At 38.4% G+C, this 18,173-nt stretch overlaps 1 protein-coding gene and 1 long non-coding RNA gene across 8 annotated transcripts in view; one reads left to right on the top strand and one right to left on the bottom strand.

The window, feature by feature from the left end:
- The window catches only part of NIPAL2-AS1 (NIPAL2 antisense RNA 1), a 72,899-nt gene that overhangs the window by 38,045 nt on the left and 16,681 nt on the right, over positions 1-18,173 (bottom strand). The gene's annotated exons all lie outside the window — the stretch shown is intronic.
- Positions 1-18,173, top strand: part of NIPAL2 (NIPA like domain containing 2) — a 104,410-nt gene that overhangs the window by 82,912 nt on the left and 3,325 nt on the right. For 4 of the 7 annotated variants that reach the window (NR_135747.2, NR_135745.2, NR_135746.2 and 1 more), the window contains 4 exons: positions 6,078-6,213; positions 8,128-8,216; positions 15,319-15,382; positions 16,502-16,596. Coding sequence is in view for 3 of the 7 variants with exons in the window: in NM_001321635.2 (NP_001308564.1) it covers positions 6,078-6,213; positions 8,128-8,216; positions 15,319-15,382; positions 16,502-16,596 (384 nt within the window). In the remaining 4 variants the exon portion in view is untranslated. Of the gene's footprint in view, positions 1-6,077; positions 6,214-8,127; positions 8,217-15,318; positions 15,383-16,501; positions 16,597-17,911; positions 17,940-18,173 lie in introns of those variants that run through there. The other 3 variants (NM_024759.3, NM_001321636.2, XR_928352.4) reach the window with 3 other exon arrangements.

Genomic DNA, 18,173 nt, shown 5'->3' with positions numbered 1-18,173 from the left:
ACAAAATGTACCTTATATAAGAAAATAATGAAAATGAAGCCAACTTTAAATAGGAATGTAAGATAACAGAATTAAGATAATGCATAGCAGTTATGATAATAAATGTAAATGGAATACGTTTACCTAGTAAAAAAAAGAAAAGAAATATTCTCAAATTGGACATCAGGGAAACTTCCAGATTGATTTTGAAAATGATTCTGAAATTGGATTCAGCCAATTTGCACTAGTACAGCTGTAAGGATTATTCAAATAGCAGCCACCATGCTTCCTTCCCCTAATATCTGCTCCTCTCAACCCCAGCCCCGTCATGATAAATACTAAGACAGGGGTTCTCCAGGACCCTCTTCCAGCAGTGCCACAGCCAGCACCCTTTCTGATTGGCCCTTGCAGGTTGCGAAGTGTTTTGGCTACATGCATAAATTTTCATCTAAAACAAGGTAAATCAGCTTGAAAGTAAAACAAAGCAGGAGGTCATGATATTACTAAATGAAAATTAAGGCAGAAGATATTAAGTGAGATAAAAGGGGTAATTTATCCTGACAAAAAGAGCACAATCCACAAAATATCATATCCAATATGCAACAGAAAATCTGCAGAAAATGCAAAACTACACTAACAGAAATATAAGGGGGTTAGGAGACTTCTCTCAGCTCATGGAAGATAATTAGACAGAAACCCATATAAAGACAGAGGATCTGAATAATTAATCATGAACTGGTACCTCTAATATTGAACTCTAAATCCTGAAAACAGAGAATAAACTTTCTTTCAAGTGCCTGTGTAACGTTTACAAAAGTTGATCCTATAATTGGCCATAAAGAAATCCTTGATAAATTCCAGGAAGTTGAAAGAATACAGACCACATCCTCAGATCACAGTGAAATAAAAACAGAAAAATAATAACAAAAATAGAAACCAGTAAAACCCTACCACCTGGAAATGTTAACACTACCCTTAAACTGCAGCTGTGCAAAGTACAAACCAAGATTTAATTGCAGCATATTTTTAAATTATTATTAAAGCACTTAATATTAAACCTAGAGTTCATGACTAATGCTGTATTCAGAGAGATTGATTGCTTTAAATGTAAGTCAATTAAGCATTCAACTCAAGAAATTAGAAAAAATACTGAAATAAAGCTAAGGAAAGCAGAAAGAATTAATTAAAATTAATTAAAAAGGCAAAAATTAATGAAATAGAAAAGAGAAAAGTAATGGATTTATAACTAAACACAACATGTTCTTAAAAGACAACTAATAAAATAGATCCTCCATCAGAAAAAAAGAAAAACCACAAATACCCCAAAATAGAAATGATAGATAGATATGCATATATATAAATTTGAATGAATTGCTTATTTTTTAATGAAAATAACTATGGAGGAAATAAAGGAGTTGTTAAAAAGCTATATCCTAAAAAAGAACCAGGCCTAGAGAGTTCCAAAGGTAATATCTTCAAATCCTTAAGGAATAGATTATTCTGATGCTGTTGCAACTATTTGAGGACATAAGAAGAAAGCTTTTACTTTTTAGAAAACATAATCAGATGAGACTCACCTCCCAAAATGGGAAACAAAATAGGACAAACAAAAAACACTATGAACTAATATCACTGCTAAATATTGATACAAAAATCCAAAAAAAAAAAATTAGCAAATAAAACAGAGCAAATCATACTCAGTGACAAAATGGTCTTTGTTTTGTTTTGAGACAGAGCCTTGCTCTGTCACCCAGTCTGGAGTATAGTGGCACAATCATAGCTCACTGCGGCTTCAAACTCCCAGCCTCAAGTGATCCTCCTACCTCAGCCTCCTGAGTAGCTGGGACTACAGATGCGTGGCATCATGCCTGGCTAATTTTTTTTTTTTTTTTTTTTTTTGGAGAGACAGGGTATCCCCATGCTGCCCGGGCTGGTTGCAAACTCCTAGGCTCAAGCAATCCTCCTGCCTCACCTTCCCAAAGTGCTAGGATTACAGGCATGGGCCACCACACCTGGCCCAAGTGGTCTTAATAAAACTGGTTCTTCTCTGTAACACTTACAACAATTTGCACTTACATATTCTACTTATATGTTTATATGCTGTTATGAGCCCCTCTTCCTGGCCAGATTAGAGCATGTCTATTATTTACAGTATATATTCTTTAAGTAGAATTGAGCACAGTAATCACACAGTAAACATTTGAATTTAATTAACTATGGGAATGAAAGAAGGATTCTTTAAGAAATTCATTAATATAGTTCATCAAGTTTCATATGCACTCCTGATAAAGAACTTGTTGGTGAAATACCAGAAGCGTTCTCATTACAGCAAGAAATGAGAACCAAGATGCTCACTCTGCACTGTGTGCTCATCTTGAATATTGTAAATGAGCATTAGTACGTTTTAAAAAAGTAATTATGAAAGTCATGTTGTATCCATGAGACGTAACAAAGTACATGATATTGCTTGTGTGATTGATAAAAAATGGAATTAAAAAAAAGAAAATAGCAAGTGAGGGTAGTCAGAAGAAAGAAACCTGGCTTCTGGCGAGTGGCCCACTTTGCCAGTAGTGGTGATCATTCTTAAAGGACTCCAGGCCTGGTGTGATGGCTCACACCTGTAATCCCAGCACTTTGGGAGGCCATGGCAGGTGGATCACCTAAGGTCAGGAGTTTGAGACCAGCCTGGCCAACATGGTGAAACCCCAGCTCTACTAAAAATACAAAAATTAGCCAGGTGTGGTTGTGGGTGCCTGTAATCTCAGCTACTCAGGAGGCTGAGGCAGGACAATTATTTGAACCCACGAGGTGGAGATTGCAGTGAGCCAAGATCGCACCATTGCACTCCAGCCTGGGCCACAAGAGCAAAACTCCACATCAAAAAAAAAAGTACTCTAACGCCTCTGGGTTGATCAGGAAACCAGGAAGGCCAGGAAGTCCTTCTCTATCCATGGAATGCTTTGGTTATCAGAGACAAATTAGTAAATAAAATGTTTATGGCTCTCATAAGGAAATGTTGATGGCAACCTAGAAAAATTTTTGAAAGGAGGTATATTGATGAAAATCTAAGAGGGAATTGAGAGGGCCAAATTTCAAAAACAGGTCAGCACATGTTTAGAAAAAATGGTGTTGTTCTAATGATGAAAGTATACATGGTAATTATTGACAATTACGAAAATAGAGAAAGATACAAAGAAAAATACAAAAATCTGTGCAATTGAGCACTGTACAACAGAGTGTGACTGGTACTCTCTGGAAGGCAGTTTGCTAGTATATTTCACAAGCCTTCACAGTGGCTGTAGTCAGGAATTCCCCTTTGGTGGTTTTCCTAAGGAAATAGGCAGAGTGATAAACAAAGACTTACGTTCAAGAATATTCATCACAGCCCCGCTTTTAATAGTTAAAAAAAAAATGGATACAACCTAAATATCCAAAAATAGGGAATTGCCAAAATAAATTCATACAAATTCATGGTTTAGAAGAATACTTAATGAAATAGAAAATACTTTAGGTAAATAGGTTCCTAAGTGGTATATACTTGGAAAATGAGCTCCTAAGTAGCATATACCTTATGATTCACATGTTGTAACCTATTCATACTTATAGATAGGAAAATAACAACATGTCCAAATGTCAAAAATGATTTGAGGTGAGTGCTGAAACTACAGGCAATTTTAATTTTCCTTTCCAGGCTTTCCCACATTTTCCAAAAATTTTTAAATGAATATGTTTACTTTTGTAGATTTTTTTAATGAATTTCAAGTTAATTCATTATCCCAGTGCTAGAGATAACCACTGACAATATCTTGATGTAGTTTATTCTCATCTTTTTTTCTGTGCTTACCTAAGTACCTTCTATTTTTAAGTATAATGTTAGAAGAACACTGCATTACAATTATGTATTTCCACCTATCCTCATCAACCACCCCCCAAAAATACTTAGAAGTACTCAACACCAGCCTAGAAATAATTTACAGGTTAAAATAGTGATTAATCAGTTGACAATTGTGCATGCTTTGAAAATGTAACGATTGGCTACAGAAATTGATAGTTTGTTTAGCTATCAATAACAGAGAATTCTAGTTTTGTCTTTGTCTTGTGTTTAAGTATAATATAAAATCAGATAGTGGTTAAATCAGATGACCTTTAAGGTCCTTTGCAATTCTGAGGTTCTGAGGCTAATGGAACAGTACGTTCAACTCCTTCTCCATTAATTGTCCCGTTGGGAAACCTGGCTGTTCAGACCACAAGATCATAATCACACTGTGTTCTAATTTCAGGCAGTGTTTAGAAGGAAATCAAGGTCCCTCAAGAGCTAACCTACAAACTTAAACCATCAAGTGACACACAGATCTCTATAGATATTTAAAATGCCTAGTTTAGCTAAGATGTGGCTACTAGCATAATCAGTAGGAAATATGTAAAAGAATCAGGTCAAAAGACATCTTAAGATGGAGAAAGGCCTGATTGTAAGGGCCTCTTTGTTGAGAAGTGGGGTTTGTTTTTAGAATTTATCACCTGATCTCCTCTGTCAATTATGATTTTTTTTTCCTTTTTTTTTTTTTTTTGAGACAGAGTCTCGGTCTGTCACCCAGGCTGGAGTGCAGTGGCCCTCTGCGAACTCCGCCTCCTGGGTTCACGCCATTCTCCTGCCTCAGCCTCCCGAGTAGCTGGGAATACAGGCATCCACCACCATGCCCAGCTAATTTTTTGTATTTTTAGTAGAGACAGGGTTTCACTGTGCTAGCCAGGGGATGGTCTCGATCTCCTGACCTCATGATCCGCCCGCCTTGGCCTCCCAAAGTGCTGGGATTACAGGTGTGAGCCACCGCGCCCGGCCAATTATGATTTTTAACTAAAAGAAAATGCCTAATTTGGAAGTGTGCCCTAGTACCCTTCAAGTTAAAGTATATTTTCAGTTTTTGGAAAACGATATTATGGGAGGCTTTTCTTGGCTGGCCACCACTTGCTGTTTTAAATATATATATATTTCAAATACATACATACATACATACATATATATATATACACACACACACATACATAAAATACCTTTTCAAATAAAATGAAGGAAACTCAGATATATTATGACCAAGTAGATCAACAGCAACAAAAGGAGTATTTCTCCTTCGCATTGCCTTTGACTTATAGTTTTTTTATTTCATGTAAAAATTATTTTTGAACTTTCAGTGAGTTTTAGCTAAATTATGGAATTATTTGCAACAGTAACTTCGAGGGACATAAGACAGAAAGCATTCTTTTCTTCCTTACAGAAAGATGATGTTGCCAGAAAATGCTCCATTACTTTCATAGTGATATAACCTTATCAAGTTACTTTTTCTTAATTGCTGTTTGGAACCTACGAAAAGTTTGTTCTCATAAGGGATGAGTTCCACTTTAGCATAGAACATAAATAGCTATTGCTTATGTAAACCTTAAATTGATGGTCCACCCTGAGAAATGAATACTCAACTCTGCTCCTGCTTCCAATTATTGTCATTGTCAAAAATATTCTTAATGAAACTTCTAGGTGTCTCCTAACAAAAGGGCTCACATATAGACTTAGTACAACTCACTTGATTTTAGCCAAAAGGCTGAGAAGCAATGACTTAGTACAACTCTAAGTAAACTCAAGAAGTGAGTTGCATTTCACTTTCCAGTCTTCTCATCTACTTGGTTTTTAAATTTTCAGTATAGTTTAATAGTTATTTTCTCATTAATGTCACATGGACAATCTGACTTTTCTTATCTCCTCCCTCCATTGTTTTTGCCTTTCCCATCTACTAGTAATTATAACCTCCACAGCATTCTTTCAACAGTTAGGGATGGAAAAGAAGCATCTTGCTCCACAGATAAAAAAAAAAAACACACAGTCACACAGCAGATCTTTAGCTGATTTAAGCAAATTTGATATCCAGCACGGCTCGAGCAACAAGGCCACTGCTTACTAATGTCACATCCCTTCCTACACCTCTCACAACTGTGTTCATTCTTAAACCATAATTGGTATATTTGCTACTCTACTACATAAGCTTAAGATATTTGTTAATTCAATCTGAAATATGTTCTTTATTTGTGTTTTTTGTTTTCTTTTTCAGCCTCATTGACTGTTATTTCAGTAAAGGCCGTCTCAGGCATGATCACTTTTTCTGTGATGGATAAAATGCAACTAACTTACCCCATTTTCTATATCATGTTTATCATCATGATAGCATCTTGTGTTTTCCAAGTCAAGTAAGTTAGCTTCTGCATACTCACTAATCTTTCAACATTCCGGTGCTTCTCTGGGCATTAATCTTTACTGGCTTCAGATGATAATTAAAATGAGATACAACTGATTTCTAAGGGTGAAGGGCCTGTAGCTTGTCCTCAGCCAACATGCCTTGCTTCCTCCTTTGCATCCAATAATGAGTTTTTATGAAGCGTTGCCTTCATGTCTTGTGAGTTCTAAAGCGCAGCCTTAATCCAGCTAAGTGCACTTTGATACTTTCCTGATGCTCTTCTGCTTGTAATTAATATCTGTGGTACACAGGTTGTCATTAGCAATAAATCAAAGGGGCAGGTCCACATCCAGGCTTTCATTCTAAATATAGGACACACATGAACCCTTCACCTTCATTTCTTAGCTCATGCTCACTAATTGCCCAGAGAAGGACGAAACCAGACATTTGGCCGGGAGGGAAATCCTTTCCCCAAAATTTTGCATCTTTGGCCAGAATTTCCTTTGTATCCATGGGATTGCGGAATGATTGTTTTATGTTTCTCTTGAGGCCTAATAGTGGTGACATGGAACGTTTTTAATTTCTGCTCTTCCCTGCCCCCACTCCATCAACTCTAATCACTTCCCCTCTATCTCTCACATTGGGATTGTGCCTTTGCCTGCTGGGCTTTCTTGAGTTGACCTGAAAGTTTTCTGTTCACCCCAAAATGCTATGCAAAAGCACCATCCCAGATAAGAAATCAGAGCTCAAAATCAGTACAAGAGTGGTTCCTTCTGTAGGTGTGAGAAATACCGTCTAATTGTTATGGGCTGAAGATAGGCCCTGTTACAAGGTCTATGGAGAATTACTGGAAAAACCCAATGTTTTGTCACTGGTTTGTCATCTCCTTATAAGCCTGTGTTTCTAATACTTGCATTTGCTATTTCATTTATCTGTTTCTTCTGAATTAATTGGTACTGCCACAGTATCTTTTGGGATTAGTGGCATTATCTTCATACCATACTTTGTAAATTTGACAGGCAGACACAATTGGGGGTAAACTGCATCCTGTCACCCTTGTCTCAGTCTCCTGCACCCATCACACTGTACGACTGTGGTTCTCAGCCCTGGTTGCCCATTAAAATGACCTGGTTTTTGTACATACATATGTACATGCATGTATATGACCTGGCTTTTGTACGTATATGTACTTGCAGGCATACATGCACATACATGCATTTACGTATACCTACATATGTGTATGTACACACACACACACACACACACACACACACACAGGCTCTACCCACAAAGTACTTTTTTCAATTTCTCTAGAGTAGGACCTAAGCATTAGTGCTTTTTAAAAGCACCCTGGTGATAGTGCAATTCACTGCTTCAAAAAACAATCTAGTCCCTAGCAGGGCAGCACAGCACAGTTGTGGGAACTGCATTTGTGTTGGTGGCCAGAATGAGAAGCTGAGCTCCCACATGTGCTCTGCAGCTGGAGCACTGAGCATTGTTTTTGAAACATTAAACATTCCTTTACTTCTCCATCTTCTTTCTTGGCACGTGGCATGTCAATGGATAGCTCTACTATTCCCCAGATATGATATTTAACAGATTCTGGGGTCTATCCTAATGAATCAGGCCCAGTGTGATACTGGTCCAGCAGCTTGAATCGCTTCCAACTCAAACTTCTGTGGCCTCGGAATATGATTAATTGCTTTTCATTGTTACTGTTGTTGGTTTAAACAGACCATAGAACCTGACATCTGATCTCATACATCAGATGCATATAAGCTATGACTGCTGATTGGAAATGCCCTTTCACTGCACCTCCTTTCCCTTTGTAGTTGTAGCTAAAGAACACGTGTTTCTTGAAGTTATTGTTAACTTATTGCTGAATGTCTCCTAAAGCCAAAGCTCCAGTAAGTGCCTTCTGCCCTAGGTTCCTGAATCAAGCCACGAAACTCTACAATACGACAACAGTGGTGCCAGTTAATCATATTTTCTTTACAATCAGTGCCATCATTGCAGGTGAGTTTTGGTTTTCTATACATTGGTGATTCCAAGCATAAATGAAGTTTCTCCCAGAGTAAATGAGAGAATCCAGAAATCTTTAGGTTGTAAGGATCTGTGTTGCCTCCACCTGGTGTCTGAATTTCCCCTATGACAATCTTCCAGGAGAGGTTCCTCTACTTTGTGTGAATGCTCTCTGCCTCCTGGGTCAGCTCAGTCCTGCTTTGGATCACTCTCATTCTCTGGAGATTTCTAAGTAGAAAGTGTTTTCTTATATTGGAGCTGAAATGAGTTTCCTTGCAAATTTAAGACACTCATCTTTGTTCTTGTTGGAGTCTTTCCCTTGCCAGCCCTTGGATTAGTCCATTTTGTGTTGCTATAAAGGAATACCTGAGACGGAGTAATTTATTTTTAAAAGAGGTTTATTTGCCTCATGGTTCTGCAGGCTGTACAGAAGCATGGTGCCAGCATCTGCTTCTTGTCAGGACCTCAGGAAGCTTTTACTCATGGTAGAAGGCAAAGGGAGAACAGACACGTCACATAGCAAGAGATGGGGCGAGGGAGAGGGGTAGGTCCCAGTCTCTTTAACAACCAGATCTCATATGAACTCAGTACTGACAGAGGACACCAAACCATTCGTGAAGGATCCACCCTCAGGACCCACACACCTTCCTCTAGGCCCCACCTCCAGCATTTGGGGATCACATTTCAACATATGATTTGGAGGGGACAGATATCCAAGCTATATCAGCCCTTCTGATCATCAAAGCAACTGAAAGGTCCTCTTGAGTCTTGTCTCTGGGCCATACATGCCCAATTCTACTAACTCTTCCCTATATGCCCCTCACCAGCTCGATCAGACAGTACAATCCAAAACTGAATTCAATGTTCCAGGGCAAGCCTGAGAGACAAGAATAGAAACTACTGCCTTTGCTATTCTGGCCTCTATTTTTCTACTATTGCAGTTCTTTTATTAGTATGGACCATTTTTTAAAATATGACAGGCATGATAGCATTAAAACTAAAAGTATAAATTTGAAACTCGGTCCAAACCAAAAACAGTTGATTTGAGTATACCATTTCTATATTTGGTACTGGTATGCCCTCATTCATTGGCTTATCTGATGTATTTACCACCTTCTTGATCTTGAGAGTTCATTTCTCAATGTAAAGTTTATGTATTTGGAGGAGTAACTGAGGATTGTCTGTTTCCTAACTGGCACATTTTTTTTTCATTTTATGGAAAACAATGTGACTGTCAGTGGGTAGTTCTTTAAAGTAATTAATGCATTTTCTGTTTCCCAAAATTGAAACTTAATATTTAAAGAAAATATTCTATCCCATGACATCTAATTTTTTAGTATTTTAAGCTAGTTAATAAATTAAGAAAAGATTGCATATTGATGTGTCTTAGAATTATTGGAAAAGGAAAATAGGCCAAAAAGAGACATAGAAATGACATAAGCCTGATAGTTAATATTAATGTGCATAAAGAATATAGTTGCCCTGATCGGAAGATTTTCTGCAGCCTGGGAACATAGCAAGATGTCATCTCTAACAAATTAGGGGGAAAATCAGCCAGGTATGGTGGCACGGACCTGTATTCCCAGCTACTCAGGAGGCTAAGGCAGGAGGATCGCTTGAACCCAGAAGTTCGAGGTTACAGTGAGCTATAGTCACACCACTGCTCTCAAGCCTGGGTGACACAGCCGGACCCCATCTCTAAAAAAATAAAAGTTAAAAATAAATAAATAAAGATTTTCTAGGAGGACCAACAGGGCTGGGTCTTAATACTCAGCATACAGAGTAATTGATGAGTCGGTGGGATGGCAAGACCTTTTGGGAGTCATAAGAGTCCCTCTGATGTTATTGGTGAGTGGAATGGTGGTGGAGCTTGCCAACTACTTCTCCTCTCTGCCTCCATGAGAAAGCATAGCTTACAATTAAGATGAGACCGTATTTTGCCTACTAATTAGTCAAGTTTTGTTTGTTCTTTTTATTGCAATATCCAATGCTGATAAGGCTACAGTATCACAGGCATTCTTATGGGCTAGGTAACATGCCGCCACCCTCCTAGAACTGAGTTTTGTAGTTTTTATCAAAAGCCTTAACAATATTTCTACTCTTTGATTCTACAAGTCAACAACAAAAACCCAAATAACCTGATTTTAAAATGGGAAAAGAACTTGAATAGATGTTCTTGAAAAGAAGATACACAAATGGCCAAAAGATGTGAAAAGATGTTCAACACTTCTAATCATAAGGGAAATGCAAATCAAAACCACAATGAGATATAATCTCACACCCAATAGGATGGCTGCTATTAACAAGAAAAAACAACAAATGGTGGTGAGGATGTGGATCAACTGGAACTTTTGTACACCATTGGTGGGGATGTAAATGGTGCAGCCATTATGGAAAACAGTGTGGCAGTTCCTCAAAAAATTAAAAATGGAATTACCATATGATCTAGTAATTTCACTTCTAGGCAAGAGAATTAAAAGCAAGGTCTTGAAAAGACATTTGTATATGTATGTTCATAGCAGCATTATTCACAATAGACAGAAGGTAGAAGCAACCCAGATGTCCATCAACAGATGAATAAATAAACAAAATGTGGTATATATATACAATGGAATATATTCAGCTTTTAAAAGGAAGGAAATTATAACACATGCCACAACATAGATGAACCTTGAGAACATTATGGTAAGTGAAATAAGCCAGTCACAAAAATAAAAATATTCTATGATTCCACTTATATGCGATATCTAGAGTAGTGAGATTTATGGAAACAAAAGTAGAATGAGGGCTGCGGGGAGGAGGAAATGAGTTGTATAATGGGAATAGAATTTTAGTTTTGCAAGATGAAAAAGTTCTGGAAATTGGTTGCAAAACAGTATGAACCTACTTATCACTACTGAACTATACACTGAAAACAAAAGATCGAGATGGTAAATTTTATGTTATGTATATTTTACTACAACGTTTCTAAATTGGGAAAAAATAGCCAGGTGTGGCAGTGCACACCTTTAGTCCCAGCTACTCAGGAGGCTGAGGCGGTAGGATTGTTTGACCTAGAAGTTCAAGGTTACAGTAAGCTATAATCACGCCACTACTCTCCAGCCTGGGTGACGGAGCAGGACCTTATCTCTAAATAAATAAAAGTTAAAAATAAATAAATAAAGATTTTCTTGGAGGACCAAGAAAATCTCTGGAAACAGAAATTCCACTTCTAAAAAACCCCACAAAAATTCATAAAATACCTGGGAAAATGTGTTGATGAGGCATACCGCATTTTATTGTGCTCTGCAGATATTGCATTTTTTACAAATTGAAGGTTTGTGATAATCCTGCATCGAACAAGTCTGTTGGAATCATTTTTCCAACAGCATGTCCTCACTTCATATCTCTGTGTCACGTTTTAGTAATTCTTGCATTATTTCAAGTTTGTTATTATTATATCTGTTACGGTGATCTGTGATCAGTGATCTTTAATGCTACTACCATAATTGTTTTGAGACACCACAAACTGCACCTGTGTAAGACTGCCAACTTATCAATAAATGTATGTGTTCTGATGCTCCACTGACCAGCTGTTCCCACATCTCTCTCCTTCCCCTTGGGCCTCCTTATTCCCTGAGACACAATAATATTGAAATCTGACTATATTATTAAATATAATAACCCTACAATGGCCTGTAACTGTTCAGATGAAAGGAAGCATCCCACAATCCTTCCCTTAAGTCAAAAGCTAGAAACGATTAAGCTTAGTGAGGAAGGCATGTCAAAAGCCAAGATAGGCTGAAAGGTAGACCTTCTGCACCAAACATTTAGCCAAGTTGTGAATGCAAAAGAAAAAAGTTTTTGGGCCGGGTGCAGTGTCTCATGTCTGTAATCCCAGCACTTTGGGAGGCTGAGGCGGGCGGATCACCTGAGGTTGGGAGTTCGAGACCAGCCTGACCAACACAGAGAAACCCTGTCTCTACTAAAAATACAAAATTAGCCGGGCATGGTGGCACATGACTGTAATCGCAGCTACTTGGGAAGCTGAGGCAGGAGAATTGCTTGAACCCAGGAGGCGGAGGTTGCAGTGAGCCAAGATGGCACCATTGCACTCCAGCCTGGGCAACAAGAGTGAAACTCTGTCTCAAAAAAAAAAAAAAGAAAAGAAAAAGAAAAAGAAAAAAACTTTTTGAAGGAAATTTAACATGCTACTCCAGTGATCACATGAATGATAAGAAAGTAAAGCAACCTTATCACTGATATAAAGGAAGTTTGAGTGGTCTGGACAGATCAAACCAGTCACAACATTCCCTTAAGCCAACACCTAAACCAGAGCAAGGCCGTAACTCTTTTCATTCTATGAAGGCTAAGAGAGGTGAAGAAATGACAGAAGAAAAGTTTGAAGCTATCAGAGGTTGGTTGATGAGGTTTAAGGAAAGAAGCCATCCTCATATCATAAATACAAGATGAAGCAGCAAGTGCTGATGTAAAAGCTGCAGCAAGTTGTCTGGAACATCTAGCTAAGATCATTGATGAAGGTGGCTACACTAAAATACAGATTTTCAATGTAGACAAAACCACCTTCTATTAGAAGAAGACACCATCTAGGACTTTCATGGCTAAAGAGGAGAAGTAAATGTCTGATTTCAAAGCTTCAAAGGACAGGCTGACTCTCTTGTGAGGAATAATGCAGCTGGGCACTTTAATTTGAAGCCAATGCTTATTAACCATTCTGAAAACCATAGGGCCCTTAAGAATTATGCTAAATCTACTCTGCCTGCACTCTTTAAATGAAACAACTAAGCCTGGATAACAACACATCTGTTTATGGCATGGGTTACTGAATATTTTAAACCCACTGTTGAGACCTACTGACCAGGAAAAAGAGTCCTTTCAAAATATTACTGCTTATTGTCAATGAACCTGATCACCCAAGAGCTCTTGTGGAGATGTACAAAGAGATGAATGTTGTTTTCATGCCTGCTAACACAACATTCATTCTGCAGCCCATGGATCAATGAGTAATTTTGACTTTCAAGTCTTATTATTTAAGAAATACATTTTGTAAGGCTGTAGCTGTCATAGATAATGATTCTGCCGATTGATCTTAGCAAAGTAAATTGAAAACTTTCTGATTTTCTTGATGTCATTAAGAACTTTTGTGATTCATGGGAGGAGGCTAAAATATGCACATTAACAGGAGTTTGGAAGAAGTCTATTCTAACCCTCCTGGATGATTTTGAAAGGTTCAAGACTTCAGAGAAGGCAGTAACTGCAGATGTGATGGAAATAGGAAAAGAACTAGAATTAGAAGTGGAGCCTGAAGATGTGACTGAACTGCTACAACTTCATAATCAAACTTTAATGGATGAGGAGTTGCTTTTTATAAAAGAGCAAACAAAGTGGTTTCTTAAAGTGGAAACTACTCTTGGTGAAGATGCTAGGAACATTGTTGAAATGAAAACAAAGGATTTAGAATATTTCAGTAACTTAGTTGATAAAGCAGCAGCTGTGTTCGAGAAGATTAAGTAGAGATTTTGAAAGAATTTCTACTGCAAGTCAAATGCTGTCAAACAGTATGGCATGCTACAAAGAAATCTTTCATGAAAGAGTTAATCGATGTGGCAAACTTCATTATTGTCTTATCTTAAGAAGTTGCCACAGCCACCCCAACCTTCAGCAACCACCACCCTGATCAATCAACAACCATCAACACTGAGGAAAGTCCCTACAACTAGCAAAAAGATAGGACTCACTGCAAGCTCAGATGATCATTAGCATTTTTAGCAATAAAGTATTTTAATTAAGGTATGTACTTTTTTTAGACATAATGCTATTGCACATTTGATAAACTACAGTACAGTGTAAACATAACTTTTATGTACACTGGGAAACCAAAAATTTAGTGTGACTTGCTTTATTGAGAGATTAGCTTTATTGTGATGTGGTCTGGAACCAAACCCACATATCTCCAAGATACACCTGTACGAAGAAGTACATTGCTGCTTTACTGAAGAAAAAAATTGAAAAAAAAAAAAGAGAAAAAAGATGTAGAACCAACTTGAAATGCCCTTAAAGAAATGAATATTATGGTATATCGTTTAAAATAACATGAAAACATTAAAATGATTATAAGGAAGTATGTAATAACCTGGAGTGTGCTTCAGAAAGTTTCATTCATTCAACAAATATTCATTAGAACTGGACATGGCTTCTTCCTGTAAGAAGTTCATTCCCTAGGTAAGGAGATAAGGTGAAGAATGAGAAAGCTCCTTGAGGATAGGTCTCTGTCTTGTCATTTCTCCAAGACCTAGAGCAGTGGCTGACGCACAGCAGACGTTCAATAAATATTGGTTGGCTGGCTAACAAGGATAACACCACACACATAAAAAATTAATTCCAGGCAACATATAACTTAAAGATATCTTAACAAAAACTCTATGAAGGCTTTGGAACTTTACAGAAGAAATCATTGAGACCAAGACGGAGAGAAGCAAAGTTCATCAAAGTAGATGATGCATCCTTGTTTACCTTTGGAAGACCAGAAGAAGATGAGAGGGGGCTTGGCAGTGGGAAGTAGAGCTAAGGTAGCACTTCAGCTGCTAGAGTGTGCTTTGGCACTTGAGTCGCCATGTGGCCAGACCAACAGATCACTGGGCATCTCCACGAGTGACAGCATGGGTGGCAGCAGCTGGCCTGAGGTGGACCTGCCATGTCAGAGGCCCCAGAGTCTACCCAGACTCTCAGGCCAGGCTGGCTGACCCCTGACCTAAAACTGCAGGTGGGGAATAGTTGCTAGAGTGTTGTTTTCTTGTATGTTCCAGTTGGGCAATCCTGGGCTGGATGAGAAATTTCTGCTTGCAAATATATGTCAATTATGTTTCTTTTATAATAATGATAATTATATCAGATTTACAAATCTATGTTCTTTTTGGAATAATTCAGAATGTGTGGCATGCAAATTTTCTTAAACTAAACTGCTGAATGTGCATTTTAAGGATGACTAAATTTACTTTGAAAAAATAACATATTAACATAATTTTACAAACAATATTTAGCTATTATAAATAACCTTACTTCAAAATCAATTTTGTCTTCTTTTCCTGTGTTACAGGTATCATATTTTATCAGGAATTCCTTGGTGCTCCTTTTCTCACTGTATTTATATATCTTTTTGGGTGAGTAAATGTCTCAGAGGTAAAGCATGTGAAATTCTATTACTTTTACGTAGGATTTTCGGCATTGTACCGGAGGTATAGAAAATTGGAAAATAATATAAGAAACATCAGTTTCCTGAGCTCCTAAAAGAAACATATTTTTTAACTTAAGGCCCTAAACAGGGCTCAGCGTCTTTGGCTTTGTGACTTAGGTATATCTCTGCTGTTCTGAAACATTGGGGATTTCCAATTCCAGGCCAAAGACAAGATACATCCACTGGCCCTTGTAGTTACTGCACGACCTTTCTGTACTGTATCAGACCTACTTCGCTCTTGGGAACCCCTAGATTAGATCTAAATTAGAGAATCATGATCCTCTAGGGTCGCCCAAAATAAAAGGCCAAGATGGGCAGATCCCTTGCTTTAGTCATGATAATATCAGGTTGGTAGCATCCCTTTCTTGTGTTAAGAGTGTGCAGCTTGAGCTCTCCCTAGAGATTTGGTGGGCATCATTGCTAGCATTGCTTGCAAACAGAGAGCAGAACTTTGACAATATATCACCAGTGTATAGGAGCTTCCATGACTCCATGAGGCACTTCATTAAATGTTTAGCTGCTCCTTGATCTAGTAGTCAGCATGATCATTGTTATGCAAACTTGAGCCTAGGCTATTTTCGGTGTAGGAAGCCATCTATCTTGAAAATTCAATTTCATAAGATAATTGGGCAAGGCCAAACTTCTGAGGTCTGGAAATTATGACTACTCTTATGGCCAAGGAAAACTAGATTTCTTAGAAAATTAAAGAATAAATTATTTTTTCTCTTGTGTCACATGCCAGAAATGGATCTGGGCGTGCATGGGCAGAAAATGAGACAGGGTGTCCCCAAGGGTTTTGAGCCTGAGTTAGCCCCCAGATGGTAAAAACCTGGGCCAGAGATCTACTGGAATCTGCCCAAGTCTTGGTTCTGGGTAGAACTATTGGCTGTGCTAATTAAGACAAGTACTAGGAAGCTTACCATGAGAAACTGGAAGAACAAAACCAATGGGATTTATGTCATCATGTAGAATATGGAGCTCAGTTATTTAATACCATGAGTCTGTTTCAGTGTTCTTGTATTCTTTATTAATATTATCCTTACAGGTGTTTTCTGTCATTCCTTGGTGTATTTTTGGTCACAAGAAATCGAGAAAAGGAACATCTGCAACAGTCTTATATTGATTTTGGAAATATTCCTGGTAAAATCATATATTCTTTATAGTGGAAAATTTGATCCTTATAAATGAATAGTTATTGGTATTATTTTGGGTGGTAAGTTAATATAAAACATAATTCTTATCCTAAAAAATGTACATTTAATAATGAAACCAAAGGTGCTATTTTCAGTGTAAATGTTTCTAATAATTTATTGAATGTCAGTTTTGCACAGAACTGGGGATATAAAAGAACTGACCATGTTTCCTCGATTTGGGTGATTTGGAGGATTTCCTTTTTGGGTTTCCTTAAATTGGAAAAGGGTAGAGAAAAGAGTAGCAATGACTACCAGCAGCAGACCCCTGCCACTTTGAGAGCCTTGAAGGAACATCCAAGGACAAAGGGTAGGCAGCTAAGGAGCATGTCTTGGGGGAAGCCTGAGGTGGCCTGTGCACTGTGGCTCAGGACAGTCACCAAAACATGAGTAGTTTCTTCCCCCTTCCTCACCCCGCCTACCCAGAGAGCAAACACTCTTTCCCGTTCTCACTCTCACTGAGAAATAACTCGCCTAGTCATGTAGACAACAAAAGCCAAGTCCAGGACAAAGGAAACTGTCTGCTGTGTCACCTCTTCCCCTGTCCACCCGCCCTCAGCACTCTCCAGCCTTACTGGGGATGTAGGGGGACCTATAGGTTTCCAGGCAGGAGTGGAGACATTCTCACAGCTTTCTCCACCATTCTGTTAGCACCATGCCTGTGAAGCAAAAACTAGGGAAGCCTCATCCCTAAGACTGAGAAATATGGCCCCATGCAATGAATTCTGTGTTCTCTTTGCCATTCGAGCCATCTTATCTGCTGGGAGCAGTCAATGAAAGAATTGGCATCAGTGGCAAAGGTGCTTGTGATAGAAGCCTTATATGGTTAGAGGTTCTTTGATAGGAAATAAAGTTTGACTTTTTTTTTTTTTTTTGAGATGGAGTCTTGCTCTGTTGCCCAGGCTGGAGTGCAGTGGCACAATCTCAGCTTACTGCAGCCTCCCCCTCCCGGGTTCAAGTGATTCTCGTGTCTCAGCCTCCCGAGTAGGCACCACCATGCCCGGCTAATTTTTGTATTTTTAGCAGAGGTGGGTTTTCACCATGTTGGCCAGGCTGGTCTCGAATTCCTGACCTCAAATGATTCGCCTGCCTCGGCCTCCCAATGTGCTGGGATGATAGGTGTGAGCCACTGCACCGAGCCTGATTATTTTTAACTCTATTTTTTATTTCACAAAGCTCAGTGCATAGGCTCCGTAGTAGCTTTAGAAGTCACTATCAAAGGCTATTTTTCTATGTTGTTATATGCATTCGACGTGGAAAAGAAGACACAACCCCAGAGAGAAAGGCTTGGAGGTGAGTGAATGCTTCATGTGAATCTCCAGACTAAACCCACCTGATTTCCATGGCCAGCATGTAGATCCTGTGGGGTGGGGATAGTGGCTCTGACACAGACAATTCGCTATCACATAGCTACAGACATGGCGTTTCAAGGGCCTTTTCTTCCTTGATATTCATCTCTTCTCTTTAGAGAGTGCCCACATAGTATAAAAGAGAGGTGATAAAATGTGGCCTAGATTGAGGAGAAAT

The sequence above is a fragment of the Homo sapiens genome, chromosome 8, assembly GCF_000001405.40.
Source record: "Homo sapiens chromosome 8, GRCh38.p14 Primary Assembly".
NCBI classification, from domain to species: domain Eukaryota; kingdom Metazoa; phylum Chordata; class Mammalia; order Primates; family Hominidae; genus Homo; species Homo sapiens.
Note: the sequence above shows the minus strand (reverse complement) of the source record. Positions and strands in the feature narration are given on the sequence as shown.